The sequence below is a fragment of the Homo sapiens genome, chromosome 1 (assembly GCF_000001405.40).
Source record: "Homo sapiens chromosome 1, GRCh38.p14 Primary Assembly".
NCBI lineage: Eukaryota > Metazoa > Chordata > Mammalia > Primates > Hominidae > Homo > Homo sapiens.
In genome coordinates this window covers 28380537-28399081 of record NC_000001.11, presented here as the reverse complement: position 1 = coordinate 28399081, position 18545 = coordinate 28380537, and the positions used below count along the sequence as shown (strand labels likewise).

The 18545-nt window shown below is 43.2% G+C and overlaps 1 protein-coding gene across 5 annotated transcripts in view; it reads right to left on the bottom strand.

The window, feature by feature from the left end:
* Window positions 1-18545, bottom strand: part of PHACTR4 (phosphatase and actin regulator 4) — a 130625-nt gene that overhangs the window by 101283 nt on the left and 10797 nt on the right. For 2 of the 5 annotated variants that reach the window (NM_001350159.2, NM_001350160.2), the window contains exon 2: window positions 6141-6240. The exons of the other annotated variants lie outside the window; for them this stretch is intronic. The gene's annotated coding sequence lies outside the window, so the exon portion shown is untranslated. The remainder of the gene's footprint in view (window positions 1-6140; window positions 6241-18545) is intronic. 5 annotated transcript variants of the gene reach the window in all.

Genomic DNA, 18545 nt, shown 5'->3' with positions numbered 1-18545 from the left:
CCTCGGCCTCCCAAAGTGCAGAGATTACAGATGTGAGCCACCGCACCCAGCCTTTCCTACCTCTTTACACAGCTAATTCCTTTAAATCTCAAGCTTGGCTAACGTGTCTTCCGGAATACCTTCTGTATTAGGGTTCTTCTCAGAAACAGAACCAGTAGGATGGATACAAAACATACATATTTGAGATCTGATAAAACTATTGCCTCAAAAGTGCTTCTTTTTGAATATCAGTATTTAATTAATTAAATTTTTTTTTCTTTTTTGAGACAGAGTCTTGCTCTGTCACCCAGGCTGGAGTGCAGTAGCGCGATCTTGGCTCACTGCAACCTCCAGCTCCCAGGTTCAAGCAATTCTCCTGCCTCAGCCTCCCAAGTAGCTGGGATTATAGGCATGTGCCCCCACGCCCGGCTAATTTTTGTGTTTTTGGTAGAGACAGGGTTTCACCATGTTCACCAGGCTGGTCTCGAACTCTTGACCTCAAGCGATCCGCCTGCCTTAGCCTCCCAAAGTGCTGGGATTACAGGCATGAGCCACCGTGCTCGGCCTATTTTATTTTTTGAGACAGGGTCTGTCTACTCTGTTGCCCAGGCTGGAGTGCGGTGGCATGATCTCGGCTCACTGCAACCCTCCGCCTGTGGGGTTCAAGTGATTCTCCTGCCTCAGCCTCCTGAGTAGCTGGGACTACAGACACATGCCACTATGCCTGGCTAATTTTTTGTATTTTTAGTAGAGACGGGGTTTCACCATGCTGGCCAGGCTGGTCTCAAACTCCTGACCTCATGATCTGCCCACCTTGGCCTCCCAAAGTTCCAGGATTACAGGCGTGAGCCACCCCGGCCAGCCACCCAACAGATATTTAATGCTGCTGTTGCTAATGGCAGCCACAGCCTTGGTGGTGTTAACATAGGTATATGAGAATTCTAAAATATATTATCCTCTTCCCACCTTTAACAGAACTCTTCGAATGTATCAATTCCTCAACTTGGTAACTGTGGCTAGGTCAGTTCAGTGAAAGAAACACAGAAGCATGTACTGCAGGCTAGAAACTTGATATTAAAAGCAAAAATTAGGCCAGCGGCGGTGGCTCATGCCTGTAATCCCAGCACTTTGGGAGGCCGAGGCGGGCGGATCATGAGGTCAGGAGATCAAGACCATCCTGGCCCAAATGGTGAAAACCCGTTTCTACTAAAAATACAAAAACAACAACAACAACAAAAAATTAGCAGGGCATGGTGGCACGCACCTGTAGTCCCAGCTACTCGGGAGGCTGAGGCAGAGGAATCGCTTGAACCCAGGAGGTGGAGGTTGCAGTGAGCCGAGACTGCGCCACTGCACGCCAGCCTGGCGACAGAGAAAGACTCAAAAAAAAAAAAAAAAGCAAAAATTATTTTTTTCTCAATTACCCTAATAATAGCTTCATTCCTTGTTTCATTTTGAATGTCCAAGATAGCCTCAGATTGTACATACAAATATAAATTAATCTACTCAGATGGAAACCGTCAAGAATGAAATTATTTTCTGCCTTTTCTATTCCTTTCTGGGTAATTGCTGTAACGCTAGACCCGTGTTATTCAAAATAACCTTCTCCCTCCTGAGAAAGCTTAACAAGCCAGGCAAAAATCAAAAGAACAAAAGTTTACTGGTTAAGAGAACTTGCATTATCTTTCATTGGACAAATTAGCACAAGTTAGTTTCAAATATCAATCATATACAAACTGGTTAATGATTTTGGTTACAAAAGATAATATTGCAGAATAATTTAACCTTCTTGTCTTTGGGGATTCAAGTGGGATTAATAATACTCATCTTTAATGAGAATCTCATGAAATAGCATTTATTATAAAATAAAACAGGAAGAAATGGGCTGTGCCTGGCATATAGTTGGCAGTCTTAAAGCTCACCTCACTCCTCCATTTCAGTTCTAAAACAAAAAAAGCAGTTTTTAATTCTATCATGATTCAAAGCCTGATCAAAATACACAATGTCTAAAAACACCATCAAGATAATGAAACCTAAATTTACATTGGCAGACTGAACAACTAAAGTGTTATTTCCACATTTTCTTGGACTTGATTTAAAAGCATATCACGGCCAGGCACGGTGGCTCACACCTGCAATCCCAGCACTTTAGGAGGCCGAGGCGGGTAGATCACCCGATGTCAGGAATTTGAGACCAGCCTGGCCAACACGGTGAAACCCCGTCTCTACTAAAAATACAAAAAAAAAAAAAAAAAAAGAAAGAAAGAAAGAAAGAAATTAGCCGGGCGTGGTGGTGTAAGCCTGTAATCTCAGCTACTCAGGAGGCTGAGGCAGGAGAATCGCTTGAACCCAGGAGGCAGAGGTTGCAGTGAGCCGAGATTGCGCCATTGCACTCCAGCCTGGGAGACAAGAACAAAACACCGTCTCAAAAAAAAAAAAAGCACATCACTAGAGAAAATTAAGAAAGTAATAAGGTATCTATTCTTCTAGAGTGACCTTCAGATGCTACTACATTAATATAAGGAGTAAATACTGTAATCTACACGCATCTTTATTATCTTCTTTTTTTTTTGAGACAGAGTTTCGCTTTGTCACTCAGGCTGGAGTGCAATGGTGCGATCTCAGCTCACTGCAACCTCCGCCTCCCAGGTTCAAGTGATTCTTCCGACTCAGCCTCCCGAGTAGCTGGGATTAAAGGTGCATACCACCACGCCCAGCTAATTTTTGTATTTTTGTAGAGACGAGATTTCACCATGTTGGCCAGGCTGGTCTTGAACTCCTGACCTCAAATGATCCGCCTGCCTCGACCTCCCAAAGTGCTCGGATTACAGGCATGAGCCACCGTGCCTGGCTACATGCATCTTTATTATCTGTCACCAATTTACCCTTTTCCCTGGAAATCTGGAAGTGTAGAAAACCTCTACATTTCCCTAAAATAACTTTCTTTGCTATTTCTAAACTATTTTTGTTACACTTAGCAGAGAAATTTAGTAGCTACAAATAAAAGCAGTTAATAAAGAACTTAATTTGTTTTTGCCTATCACAAAGAAAATGAAACATTATATAGAGACTTACAATCATGTTCTTAGTAAGGACTGAGTTTTACAAATGGAAAAGCCTGTTCAAAAAAAAAAAAGTTGGCCGGGCGTGGTGGCTCACGCCTGTAATCCCAGCACTTTGGGAGGCCGACGAGGCGGGCGGATCACGAGGTCAGGAGATCGAGACCATCCTGGCTAACACGGTGAAACCCCGTCTCTACTAAAAAAAAAAAAAAAAAAAAAAAATTAGCCAGGCGTGTAATTGTAACAGTAGCTGGCAGGTGCCTGTAGTCCCAGCTACTCGGGAGGTTGAGGCAGAATAGCATGAACCTGGAAGGTGGAGCTTGCAGTGAGCCAAGATGGTGCCATTGCACTCCAGCCTGGGCGACAGAGTGAGACTCTGACTCAAAAAAAAAAAAAAAAAAAGTTATGCTTAAGAAAAGTTTGTTTTTAAGCACAAATATTCAATATGTAACATATTACTGAGGAGTAAAGACATAAAAATGAAACTTTCTTCTTTGAAGAAAAACTGACCTCCTCCTCTTTGTTAAACATAGTACTTCTGTTACCACTAAGAAGCATGAATCAGCTCTTTAAAACAGAGGTGTGGCTTATTGATAAGCAAAAGCATTGCGTGCTAATCCAAATTATCCCAGAAAATAACACTAGTGAGTTATAAAGGACATTAATTTCAGAAAACATGCTTACAGAGCACAGGAAGGGCAATTCATCATCATCACTGATCATGACAAAATCAACACCCACAAAAATGAAGCCGTATATATTTCTGGCATCGTTATGTATCACATTTTGAGGAAACCTCAAAGACAAAACATACTTTTAAAAGATGGCCAGCCGGGCCTGGTGGCTCATGGCTGTATCCCAGCACTTTAGGAGGCCAAGGCAGGCAGATCACCTGAGGTCTGGAGTTTGAGACCAGCCTGGCCAACATGGCGAAACCCCATCTCTACTAAAAGTACAAAAATTAGCCAGGGTGGTGGTGGGCGCCTGTAATCCCAGCTACTCAGGAGACTGAGGCAGGAGAATCGCTTGAACCCGGAAGGCAGAGATTGCAGTGAGCTGAGACCGTGCCACTGTACTCCAGCCTGGTCAACAAGAACAAGACTTCATCTCAGAAAAAAAAAAAAAAAGAAAAAAAGGATGGCCAGGTCCAGGCATGGTGGCTCACCCCAGTAATCCCAGCAATTTGGGAGGCTGAGGCAGGTGGAACACCTGAGGTCGGCAGTTTGAGACCAGCCTGACCAACATGGAGAAACCCCATCTCCACTAAAAATACAAAATTAGCCAGGCGTGGTGGCACATGCCTGTAATCCCAGCTACTCGGGAGGCTGAGCCAGGAGAATCACTTGAACCTGGGAGCCAGAGGTTGTGGTGAGCCGAGATCGTGCCACTGCACTCCAGCCTGGGCAACAAGAGCAAAACTCCATCTCCAAAAAAAAAAAAAAGAAAAGATGGCCAGGAGAGGTGGCTCACACCTGTAATCCTAGTGCTTCTGTAGGTCAAAGCAAGAAGATCACTTGAGGCCAGGAGCTTGAGACCAGCCCAGGCAACATAGCAAGATCCCATCTCCATAAAAACAATTTTTTAAAAATTAGCTTGGTGTGGTAGGACACATCTGTTGTCCCAGCTATTCAGGATGATAAGTCAGGAGGATTTCTTTTCTTTTTTTTCTTTTTTTCTTTCTTCCTTTCCTTTCCTTCCTTTCTCTCTCTGCTCTGTCTCTCTCCTCCCTCTTCCTTCCTCCCTCCCTCCTTTCCTTCCCTCCGTCCCTCTTTCTTTTTTTTTTTTTTTTACTTTCTAAAACTTTTTGTTAAAAACTAAGACACTAACAACACATTAGCCTAGGCCTCCACAGGGACAGGATCAAGAATATCACTGTCTTCCACTTCTACATCTTGACTTCTTGAAAGGTCTTCAGGGGTACTAACAGGCATGGAGCTGTCATCTCCTATGATAACAGTGCCTTCTTCTAGAATACTTCCTGAAGGACCTGCCAGAGGCTGTTTTACAGTTAACTTTTTTAAAAAATAAGGCTGGGTGAGGTGGCTCACACCTGTAATCACAGCACTTTGGGAGTCCAAGGTGAGCAAACTGCTTGAGCCCAGGAGTTCAAGACCAGTCTGGGCAACATGGCAAAACCTTGTCTCTACAGGGAAGAAGAAAAAAAAAAAGTTAGCCAGTATGGTGGCATGTGCCTGTAGTCCCAGCTACTTGGGAGGCTGAGGTGGGAAGATCACCTGAGCCTGAGAGGTCAAGGCTGCAGTGAGCCCTAATTGTGCCATTGCACTCCAGCCTGGGCAACAAAGTGAGACCCCATCTCAAAAATAAAAATAAAATAAAAATATGTGTGTGTGTGTGTGTGTAGAAGGAATACACACTAACAATTAAAAAGTATAGTAAATATATAAACCAGTAATATAGTCATTTATTATCAAGTATTATATACTATACATAATTGTATGTGCTATAGTTTTATATGACTGCCAGCACAGGTTTGTTTACTACCAGCATTACCACAAACGTGAGTAATGCATTGTGCTATAACATCATGATGGCTACATCACCAGGCAATAGGAATTTTTCAGCTCCATTTTAACCTTACAAGACCACCATCATTTGTGCAGTCCAGCATTGACAGAAGTGTTATTATGCAGTGCATTCATTTAATAGAATGAGCCTACTATAGTGGTTTGCATTTACCAATAAATTAGTGTTGCCATAGTGGAAGGATGAACCCTTCTCCCAAGTATATAAAGATGTTGTCCCAGAAGTCCTATCTCTTACCTAATTTTATTTAAGAAGGTAAAGTATGTAAAAGATTGTTAGTAAAATTCCCAATCTTATTGGTATCACCAATAGCTTAAAAGAGATTGTGCCATATTTTGTTTAACTGACAAAAATTATATATAGTTACGGTGTGTAAAATGACATTCAGAAATACAGTAGTCCTCTCTTATCCTTGAGGGATACATTCCAAAGCCCCCAGTGGATAACTGAAACAATGGACAGTACTGAATCCAATTGCACTCAATCAAAGTACGTTTTTGTTCATGTCTCCCACCCACAAATTTAGTGTCTTTTCCATCTTCACTAGGAACTTACTGTGCACTGTGATTGTAACTTCTGCAATGTGGAGTACAACAGCAAAACTAGCACAATTTTCTTTTTTCGTCTTCACAATTTCACAGATAGAAAATTCATTCTTTCAAATACAATATGCAGGGTTCATAAAAAACAAAAAAAAAATCATTTTTACTATAGATTTTAGCAATCTTGGCATAAGATTTTTTTTTCCTTAGTAAGTCTAGAACTTTCATCTTTTTGCTTAAAGGATACACTTAATAGCTTCTTGGCTGGGAGTGGTGGCTCACACCTGTAATCCCAGCACTTTGGGAGGCTGAGGTGGGTGGATCACTTGAGCCCAGGAGTTCGAGGTAACATGGCAAAACCTCATCTCTACAAAAAATACAAAAATTAGCCAGGCATGGTGATGCACATCTGTAATCCCAGCTACTCTGGAGGCTGAGGTGCAAGGATTGTTTGAGCTCAGGAGGTGGAGGTTGCAGTGAGCAATGATGGGGCCACTGAACTCCAGTCTGGGCAACAGAGCAAGAGTCTGTCTCAAAAAAAAAAAAAAGAAAAAGGAATTTATCCTTGGTATATCCAAATTGCCAGCATCACTACTCTTGCACTTTGGGGCCATTATTAAGTAAAATAAGGGTTACTTGAACACGAGCCCTGCAATAGCCTGAGTTAATTTGACAACCAAGTCTGCTACTAAAGGGCATGTAGCAGACTCAGTGTGGAGACACCGAGCAAAGAGATGATTCATGACATACGCAGGACGGCAAGAGAGATTTCATCACACTACTCAGAATGGCATGCTGTTTAAAACTAATGAATTGTTTGTTGCTGGAATTTCTTTTTCATATCTTCAGACCATGGCTGATCTTGGGTAACTAAAACCACAGAAAGCAAAACTGTGGATAAGGGGGAGCGCTACTGTATGTGAAGACTGTGGAATGGCTAAATCAAACTAATGAACATATCCATTACCTAAAATAATTACGTTTCTTTGTGGTGAGAACACTTAAAATCTACTCTCAGCAATTTGCAGGTACAGAATATATTTTTAGTGGCCGGGCGTGGTGGCTCACACCTCTAATCCCAGCACTTTGGGAGGCTTAGGCAGGCAGATCACCTGAGGTTGGGAGTTTGAGATCAGCCTGACCAACATGGAGAAACTCCGTCTCTACTAAAAATACAAAAAATTAGCTGGGCATGGTGGTGCATGCCTGTAATTCCAGCTACTTGGGAGGCTGAGGCAGGAGAATCGCTTGAACCTGGGAGGCAGAGGTTGCAGTGAGCCAAGATCATGCCATTGCACTCCACCCTGGCCAAAAAGAGTGAAACTCTGTCTCAAAAAAAAAAAAAAAAAAAAAAAGAATATATTTTTACTAAGGTCACTATGTTGTACAACAGATTTCTTGTGCTTATTCCTTCTGTCTAACAGAAATTTTATATCCTTTGACCAACACCTTCCCAATCTCCACTCCCACCCAGCTCCTGGTAACCACCATTTTATTCTCTGCTTCTATGAGTTTTACTTTATTATTATTATTATTATTTTATTTATTTATTTTTTGAGACAGAATCTCCCTCTGTAGCCCAGGCTGGAGTGCAATGGCTTGATCTCAGCTCACTGCAACCTCTGCCTTCCGGGTTCACACCATTATCCTGCCTCAGCCTCCCGAGTAGCTGGGACTACAGGTGCCCACCACCACGCCCGGCTAATTTTTTGTATTTTTAGTAGAGACGGGGTTTCACCATGTTAGCCAGGATGGTCTCCATCTCCTGACCTCATGATCCGCCTGCCTCGGCCTCCCAAAGTGCTGGGATTACAGGCATGAACCACTGAGCCTGTCCTATTTTTATTTACTGTTTTTAGACAGGGTCTCACTCTTGTCGCCCAGGCTGGAATGCAGTGGCACAATCACGGCTCACTACAGCCTCAACCTCCCTGGGCTCAGGTGAGATCTTCCCACCTCAGCCTCCCAAGTAGCTGGGACTACAGGTGCACACCAACACACCCAGCTAGTTTTCGTATTTTTTGTAGAGATGGGATTTCACCATGTTGCCCAGGCTGGTCTCAAACTCCTAGGCTCAAGCAATCCGCCTGCCTCCACCTAGCAAAATGCTGTGTTACAGGCTTGAACCACCTGCGCCCAGCCTGGAATTTTTTCTATTTTTTGAGATGCAGTCTCTTTCTGTTGCCCAGGCTGGAGCGCAGTGGCGTGATCTCGGCTCACTGCAACCTCCACCCCTGGGGTTCAAGTGATTCTCCTGCCTCAGCCTCCTGAGTATGTGGGATTACAGGTATGGGCCACCACGCCCGGCTAATTTTTTTGTACTTTTAGTAGAGATAGGGGTATCACCATGTTGGCCAGGCTGGTCTCAAACTCCTGACCTCAGGTGATCCACCCGCCTCGACCTCCCAAAGTGCTGGGATTACAGGCATGAACCACCATGCCCTGCCCCAGCCTGGAATTTTTATTAGAATTATATTCTGTAATACTAAAAGCCTTGGTCTACAGTTTACCCAACAGATATTTAATGCTCCTGTTGCTAATGGTAGCCACAGCCTTGGTGGTGTTAATATAGGTATATGAGAATTGTAAGATTGAGTTTGACATTTTAGATTCCATATATAAGTAAAAGCATGTGGCCAGCCATGGTGGCACCTGCCTGTAGTCCCACCAACTCAGAAGGCTGAGGCAGGAGGATCGCTTGATACCAGGAGGGACTTCGAGGCTATAGTGTGCTATGATTGCACCTGGGAATAGCCACCGTACTCCAGCCTGGGCAACACAGCAGCAAAAAACCCTGTCTGTAACAACAAAATAAGAGCATGCAGCATTTGTCTTTCTGTGCCTGGCTGACTTCACTTAATGTAATATCCTCTAAGTTCATCCATGTTGTCCCAAATGACAAGATTCCCTTCTTTTTCAAGGCTGAATAGTATTTCGTTGTGTATATATACCAAATTTTCTTTATCCATTCATCTACTGATGGACACTTAACACTGATTCTGTATCTTGGCTCTTGTGAATAATGCTGCAATGAACATGAGCGTACAGATACCTCAACATACTGATTTCATTTCCTTTGGATATATACCCAGTAGTGGAATTGCTGAATTGTATGATAATCCTATTTTCAATTTTTTGAGGAATCTCCATACTGTTTTCCATAGAACAGTAGTGTACAGGCCAGGCGCGGTGGCTCACGCCTGTAATCCCAAAACTTGGTGGGGGGCCGAGGCAGGCGATCACGAGGTCAAGAGATCAAGACCATCTTGGCCAACACAGTGAAACCCCATCTCTACTAAAAATACAAAAATTAGCTGGGCGTGGTGGCACGCGCCCGTCGTCCCAGCTACTCGGGAAGCTGAGGCAGGAGAATCGCTTGAACCTGGGAGGCGGAGGTTGCAGTGAGCCGAGATTGCGTCACTGCACTCCAGCCTGGCAACAGAGCGAGACTGTGTCTCAAAAAAAAAAAAAAAAAAAGTAGTATACAAATTTACATTTCCACCAACAGTGCATGAGGGTTCCCTTTTCTCCACATCCTTGCCAACACTTGTTATTTTTTTTCTTTTAATTTTACATTTTTTTCTTCACCAGTATGGTATCCCACAAATCTTTCATCTTTCTGATAAAAACCATTCTAACACGGTGTGAGGTAATATCTCATTGTGGTTTTAATTTGCATTTTCCAGAGGATTAGTGATACTGAACATTTTTTCATATACTTGTTGGCCATTTATAGGTCTTCTTTTGAGAAATGTCTATTCAGATCTTTTGCCCATTTTAAAATGGGATTGTTTCCTTGCTGTTGAGTTCCTCATAACTTTTCCTATTAACCTCTAATCATACATATAGTTTACAAATATTTTCTCCCATTCTATACGTTGTCTCTTCATTCTGTTGTTTCCCTTGCTGTGCGGAAGCTTTTGAGTTTGATGTAATCCCCTTTGACTATTTTTGCTTTTTGTTGCCTGTGCTTTTGGGGTCATAATCAAAAAATCATTGCCCAGACCAAGTCATGAAGCTTTCTCTTGTGTTTGCTTCTAGTAGTTTTACAGTTTCAGGTCTTACATTTAAGTCTTTAAATCCATTTTGAGTTGATTTTTTTTTTGAGATGGAGTCTGGCTCTGTCGCCCAGGCTGGAGTACAATGGCATGATCTCAGCTCACTGCAACCTCCGCCTCCTGGGTTCAAGCGATTCTCCTATCTCAGCCTCCCAAGTAGCTGGGACTACAGGTGCACACCACCACGCCCAGCTAATTTTTGTATTTTTAGTAGAGACGGGGTTTCACCATGTTGGCCAGGATGGTTTTGATCTCTTGACCTCGTGATCTGCCCGCCTCAGGCTCCCAAAGTGCTGGGATTACAGGCGTGAGCCACCGTGCCCAGCCAGAGTTGATTTTTTAAGATGGTGAGAGACATGGATCTAATTTCATTCTTCTGCATGTGGATATCCACTTTACCCAACATCATTTACTGAAGACACTGATTGTCCTTTCCCCACTGTGTGTTCTTGGCATCTTTGTCGAAAATCAATTGACCATACCTACGTGGACTTATTTCTGGATTCCCTAGTCTATTCAATTTGTCTATGTCTTTTTATGGCAGATCCACGCTGTTTTACTTCAGTTTTGTCGCATATTTTGAAATAAGACAGTATGATGCCTCTGGCTTTATTCTTTTAGCTCAAAATTGCTTTGACTATTCAGAGCCTTTTTGTGTTCCATACAAATTTTAAGATTATGTGACATCTTTTTTTGGTGTTTTTTTTGAGACAGAGTCTCACTCTGTCGTCCAGGCTGCAGCATAATGGCACCATCACAGCTTACTGCATCCTCAGTCTCCTGGCTCAGGTGATCTTCCTGCCTTAGGCTCCCAAGTAGCTGAGACCACAGGCCCACGTTGCCATACTTGGATAATTAAAAAAAACAAAGGCCGGGCATGGTGGCTTACACCTGTAATCCCAGCACTTTGGGAGGCCAAGGCGGGTGGATCACCTGAGGTTAGGAGCTCGAGACCAGCCTGGCCAACATGGAGAAACCCTGTCTCTACTAAAGATACAAAAATTAGCCAGGCGTGGTGGCGTGCACCTGTAATCCCAGTTACCCAGGAGGCTGAGGCAGGAGAATCGCTGGAACCTGGGAGGCAGAGGCTGCAGTGGGCCAAGATCGTGCCATTGCACTCCAGCCTGGGCGACAGAACAAGACTCTATCTCAAAAAAAAAAAAATTGTTTTTTGTAGAGACAGTGTCTTGCTATGCTGCCCAGGCTGGTCTCAAACTCCTAGCCTCAGGCAATCCTCCAGCCTCAGCCCCCGCAAAGTGCTGGGATTACAGGTATGAGCCACCATGCCCAGCCTTTCACCCTTTAATACATACAGCAAAGGTGCACTGATATCCTGAATCATAATGCTCACCCTGAAATAAATTCAAATTTAGAGGAAGGGACAGGAGGCAAAATTGGGTATGTGCAAGTAAAAGGAAGAAGAAAGTCCTTTTATATCCTATGATTGGTTCTATACAGTTATTCTTTGCTATTTACTGGCAGCATTTTTAACAGGGATTAATCCATGAATGAAGGGAAGAAGATGTAAGGCTATTTTTAAATATTATCTCTTGGAATCCTCCCTCTTTCTATTTGTCACTCACTGGAGGAGGGGGAAAACTGTTTGAGGGCTCTAATTTTTTTTTTTTTTTTTTTTTGAGACAGGGTCTCGCTCTGTTGCCACACTGGAGTGCAGTGGCACAATCTCAGCTTACTGCAACCTCTGCCTCCTGGGTTCAAGTGATTCTCCTACCTCAGCCTCCCGAGTAGCTGGGACTATAGGTGCGTGCCACCACGCCCAGCTAATTTTTGTATTTTTAGTAGAGACAGGGTTTCACCATGTTGGCCAGGGTTGTCTCGATCTCTTGACCTCGTGATCCACCTGCCTCAACCTCCCAAAGTGCTGGGATTACAGGCGTGAGCCATCTCGCCCAGCCTGAGGGCTCTAATTTTTAAGCTTGCTTAATAAACAATCAACTCACCTAAGCTTTCCCAAAGAACAACCATTTCTCTATGAGCCCTATACTCAGGTAAACAAGAAATATACACATCATCAACACTAGTGTAAGAAAGATACTTCACTATTTTTTTAAATATCGTTGGTCCTATATAAAGTGCAGATTTTAAATATCTAATGACCTAGGTGGATACTAGTATCACAAGACTAATAAAAACACGTCATTATTTGGTGTCTTACAAGGTTCAAAATGCCCTCACAAATCAATTGCTACTGAAAATAATTGGATAGCATTATTTAAAAAAACACAAGGCTGGGCACGGTGGCTCACACCGCCACATATATATACCCAACATAGGAGCACCCAGATTCATAAAGCAAGTTCTTAGAGACCTTCAAAGGGACTTAGTTTCCCACAAAATAATAGTGAGAGTCTTTAACACCCCACTGACATTATTAGATCATCGAGACAGAAAATTAACAAAGATATTCAGGATTCAAACAGCAGTGGGTGAAAGGGACCTGATAAGACACCTACAGAACCCTCCATCCAAAAACAACAGAATTGGTCAGGCGTGGTGGCTCATGCCTGTAATCCTAGCACTTTGGGAGGCCGAGGCAGGCAGATCACTTGAGGTCAGGAGTTCAAGACCAGCCTGGCCAACATGGTGAAACCCTGTCTCTACTAAAAGTCCAAAAATTTGCTAAGATTGGTGGCACATGCCTGTAGTCCCAGCTACTCGGGAGGCTGAGGCAGGAGAATTGTTTGAATCTGGGAGGTGGAGGCTGCAATGAGCCGAGATCGCACCACTGCACTCCAGCCTGGGTGACACACCAAGACTCTGTCTCAGAAAAACAAACAAACAAATGAAAAACAGAATACACATTCTTCTCATTGCCACATGGCATATACTCTAAAATTGGTTGCATAATCGGAAGTAAAACACTTCTCAGCAAATGCAAAAGAACTGAAATCATAGTAAACAATCTCTTGGACCACAGCGGAATCAAACTAGAAATTAAGACTAAGAAATTCACTTAAAACCAGCCGGGCGTGGTGGCTTACGTCTGTAATCCCAGCACTTTGGGAGGCCAAGGAGGGCGGATCACCTGAGGTCAGGAGCTCAAGATCGGCCTGGCTAACATGCTGAAACCCTGTCTCTACTAAAAATACAAAATTAGCTGGGCGTGGTGGCACACACCTGTAATCCCAGCTACTCGGGAGGCTAAGGCATGAGAATCGCTTGAACCCAGAAGCGGAGGTTGCAGTGAGTTGGAATCGCACCACCGCACTCCAGCCTGGGCAACAGAATGAGGCTCCGTCTCCAAAAAAAAAAAAAAAAAAATTCACTTAAAACCATACAATTACATGGAAATTGAATGACCTGCTCCTGAATGACTTTTTTTTTTTTTTTTTTGAGACAGAGTCTTGCTCTGTCGCCCAAGCTGGAGTGCAGTGGCACGATCTCAGCTCACTGCAACCTCCGCCTCCAGGTTCAAGCAATTCTCCTGTCTCGGCCTTTCAAGAAGCCAGGACTATAGGCATGCACCACCATGCCTGGCTAATTTTTGAATTTTTAGTAGAGATGGGGTTCTACCATGATGGCCAGGCTGGTCTCAAACTCCTGACCTCTGGTGATCCACCTGCCTCGGCCTACCAAAGTGCTGAGATTACAGGCATAAGCCACTGTTACTGGCCCTGAATGACTTTTGAGTAAATAATGAAATTAAGGCAGAAATCAAGAAGTTCTTTGAAACTAATGAAAACAAAGATATATCATACCAGAATCTCTGGGACACAGCTAAGGCAGTGTTAAGAGGGATATTTAGAGCACTAAGTATCCACATCAAAAAGTTACAAAGATCTCAATTTAACAACCTAACATTACAACTAAAAGAACTAGATAACCAAGAGCAAATCAATCCCAAAGCTAGCAAAAGAGAATAATCAGTATCAGAGCTGAACTGAAGGAGATTGAGACACTGAAAACTCATTCAGAAGATCAACAAATCCAGGAGGGATTTGGGTTTTTTGTTTTATTTTATTTATTTATTTGTTATTATTTTTTGAGATAGAGTCTCACTCTGTTGTCCAGGCTGGAGCACAGAGGTGCAGTCTTGGCTAACTGCAACCTCCACCTCCCAGGTTGAGGCGATTCTCATGCCTTAGGCTCCCAAGTAGTTGGGATTACAGGTGTGCACCACCATGCATGGCTAATTATATTCTTAGTAGAGATGGGGTTTTGCCATGTTGGCCAGGCTGGTCTGAAACTCCTTGCCTCAAGGGATCCATCCACCTTGGCCTCCCAAAGTGCTGGGATTACAAGCATGAGCCCTTGCGCCTGGTGGAGTTGGGTCTTTGAAAAAAGTAATACAACAGACTGCTAGCTAGACTAATAAAGACAAAAAGAGAGAAGATTCAAATATAATCACAATCAGAAATGAAAAGGGGCTATTACCACTGACCCCACAGAAATACAAATAACCATCTGATAATATTATGAACACCTCTATGTACATAAACTAGAAAATCTAGAAAAAATGGATAATTCCTAGACACATACACCCTCCCAAGACTGAACCAGGAAGAAATTGAATCCCTGAACAGACCAATAACGAGCTCTGAAACTGAGTCAGTAATAAATAGCCTATCAGCCAAAAAGAGCCCAGGACCGGATGGATTCACAGCTGAATTCTACCAGATGTACCAAGAAGAGCTGGTACCATTCCTGCTGAAACCATTCCAAAAGAATGAAGAGGAGGGACTCCTTCCTAACTCATTCTATGAGGCCAGCATCATCCTGATACCAAAACTTGGCAGAGACACAACAAAAAAAAGAAAACTTCAGGTCAACATTCTTGATGAATATCAATGCAAAAATCCTCAACAAAATACTGGCAAATCAAATCCGCAGCACATCAAAAAGCTTACCCACCACAATCAAGTAGGCTTTAGCCCTGGGATGCAAGGTTGGTTCAACATATGCAAATTCGTAAATATGATTCATCACATAAACAGAACTAAAGACAAAAACCACATGATTATCTCAACAGATGCATTAAAGGCTTTCGATAAAATTCAATACCACTGCACGTTAAAAATTCAATGAAGTAGGTATTTAAGGGCATCTAAATAGGAAGAGAGGAAGTCAAACTATCTTTGTCTGTAGACAACATGACCCTGTATCCAGAAAACCTCATGGTCTCAGCACAAAAGCTCCTTAAGCTGATAAACAACTTCAGCAAAATTTCAGGATACAAAATCAACGTGAAAAATCACTAACATTCCTATACCTCAACAACAGTCAAGCTGACTGCCAAATCAGGAACACAATCCCTTTCACGACTGCTACACACACACACACAAATACCTAGGAATACAGCTAACCAGGGAGGTGAAAGATCTCTACAAAGAGAACTACAAAACACTGCTCAAAGAAATCAGAGATGACACAAACAAATGGAAAAACGTCCCATGCCTATGGATAGGAAGAATCAATATTGTTAAAAGGGCCGCACTGCTCTAAGAAATGTATAGATTCCATGCCATTCCTATTAAAATACTATTGACATTCTTCATAAAACTAGAAAAAAAAATTATTTTAAAATTCATATGGAACCAAAAGAGCCAAGGAAATCCTAAGCAAAAAGAACAAAGCTGGAGGCATCATGCTATCCAACATCAAACTATACCACAGGGCTACAGTAACCAATACAGCATGGTACTGGTACAAAAAAAGACACATAGACCAATAGAACAGAATGGAGAACTCAGAAATAAAGGCCACACACCTACAAGTATCTGATCTTTGATAAGCCAGACAAAAATAGGCAATGAGGAATTCCCCATTCAATAAATGGTGCACGAGGCCAGGCGCGGTGGCTCATGCCTGTAATCCCAACACTTTGGTAAGCCAACGTGGGTGGATCACTTGAGGTCAGGAGTTCGAGACCAGCCTGACCAACATGGTGAAACCCTGTCTCTACTGAAAATACAAAAATTAGCCAGACATGGTGGCGGGGCCTGTAGTCCCAGCTACTCAGTAGGCTGAGTCAGGAGAATCACTTGAATCCAGGAGGCAGAGGTTGCAGTGAGCCAAGATCGTGCCACTGTACTCCAGCCTGGGCAACAGAGCGAGACTCTGTCTAAAAATAAATAAATTAATAATAATAAACAGTGCTGGGATAACTGGCTAGTATGCAGAAGATTGAAAATGGATCCCTTCCTTACTCTATATACAAAAATTAACCTAAGACAGATTAAAGACTTAAATGTAAAACCCGAAACTACAAAAACCCTGGAAGACAAGCTAGGCAATACCATTCTGGACATAAAAATGGGCAAAAATTTCATGATAGGCCGGGCGCGGTGGCTCACGCCTGTAGTCCCAGCACTTTGGGAGGCTGAGGCGGGCGGATCACGAGGTCAGGAGATCGAGACCATCCCGGCTAGCACGGTGAAACCTTGTCTCTACTAAACATACAAAAAATTAGCCAGGCGTGGTGGCATGCGCCTGTAGTCCCAGCTACTCGGGAGGCTGAGGCAGGAGAATGGAGTGAACTCAGGAGCCGGAGCTTGCAGTGAGCCAAGATCGTGCCACTGCACTCCAGCCTGGGCAACAGAGGGAGACTCTGTCTCAAAAAAAAAAAAAATTTCATGACAGAGACACCAAAAGCAATTACTACAAAAGCAAAAATTGATAAATGGGGTCTAATTAAAGAGCTCCTGCACAGAAAAGGAAACTATCAACAGGGTGAACAAACAACCTACAGAATGGGAGAAAATTTTTGCAAACTATGCATCTGACAAAGGTCTAATATCCAGCATCTACAAGGAACTTAAACAAATTTGTAAGAAGAAAACTAAACAACCCCATTAAAGAGTAGGCAAAGGGCTGGGCGCAGTGGCTCACGCCTGTAATCCCAACACTTTGGGAGGCCAAGGCAGGTGGATCACTTGAGGCCAGGAGTTCGAGACCAGCCTGGCCAACATGTTGAAACCTCATCTCTACTAAAAATACAAAAATTAGCCTGGCGTGGTGGTGTAGTCATCCCAGCTACTCAGGAGGCTGAAGCACAAGAATCATTTGAAGCTGGGAAGCAGAGGTTTCAGCGAGCCAAGATTGTGCCATTGCACTCCAACCTAGACAACAGAGCAAGACTCTGTCTCAAAAAGAAACAAGAAAAAAGTCGGCAAAGGACATGAACTGACATTTTTCAAAAGAAGACATACATACAGCCAACAATCATATGAAAAAAGCTCAACATCACTGACCATTAGAGAAATGCCAATCGAAATGACAATGAGATACCATCTTATACCAGTCAGGATGACTAGTATTAAAAAGTAAAAAAATAGGCCAGGCCAGGCGCAGTGGCTCATGCCTGTAATCCCAGCACTTTGGGAGGCTGAGGCGGGCGGATCACGAGGTCAGGAGATCGAGACCATACTGGCTAACATGGTTTAACTGCGTCTCTACTAAAAACACAAAAAATTAGCCAGGCGTGGTGGCATGCACCTGTAGTCCCAGCTACTCGGGAGGCTAAGGCAAGAGAATCGCTTGAACCCGGGAGGCGGAGGTTGCAGTGAGCTGAGATCACGCCACTGCACTCCAGCCTGGGTGACAGAGCAAGACTCCGTCTCAAAAAAAAAAAAAAGGCCAGGCGCAGTGGCTCACGGCTGTAATCTCAGCACTTTAGGAGGCCGAGGCGGGCAGATCACGAGGTCAGGATTTCAAGACCAGACTGCCAACATGGTGAAACCCTGTCCCTACAAAAATACAAAAATTAGCCGGGCGTGGTGGTGTGGGCCTGTAATCCCAGCTACTGGAAAGGCTGAGAGGAGAATTGCTTGAACCCGGGAGGCAGAGGCTGCAGTGAGCCGAGATCACTCCACTGCACTCCAGCCTGGGTGACAGAGCAAGACTCTGTCTCGGAAAAAAAAAAAAAAAATTCAAAAAATAATGCTGGCGAGATTGTGGAGAAAAAGAAATGCTTATACATTGTCAGTGGGAGTATAAATTAGTTCAACTATTGTGGAGGACAGTGTGGCAATTCCTCAAAGACTTAGAAATACCATTCAACCCAGAAATCCCATTACTGGTTATATACCCAAAGGAATATAAATCATTCTATTATAAAGACATATGCACACATATGTTCACTGCAGCACTATTCACAACAGCAAAGACACGGAATCAACCTAAATGCCCATCAAAAGTAGACTAGATAAAGAAAAGGTGGTATGTATACACCATGCAATACTATGCCACCATAAAAAACAACAAGATCATGTCCTTTGCAGGAACATGGGTGGAGCTGGAGGCCATTATCTTTAGCAAACTAATGCAGAAACAGAAAAACAAATATCACATGTTCCAAATATTGCATGATGAGAACACATGGACACAGAGGGGAACAACAC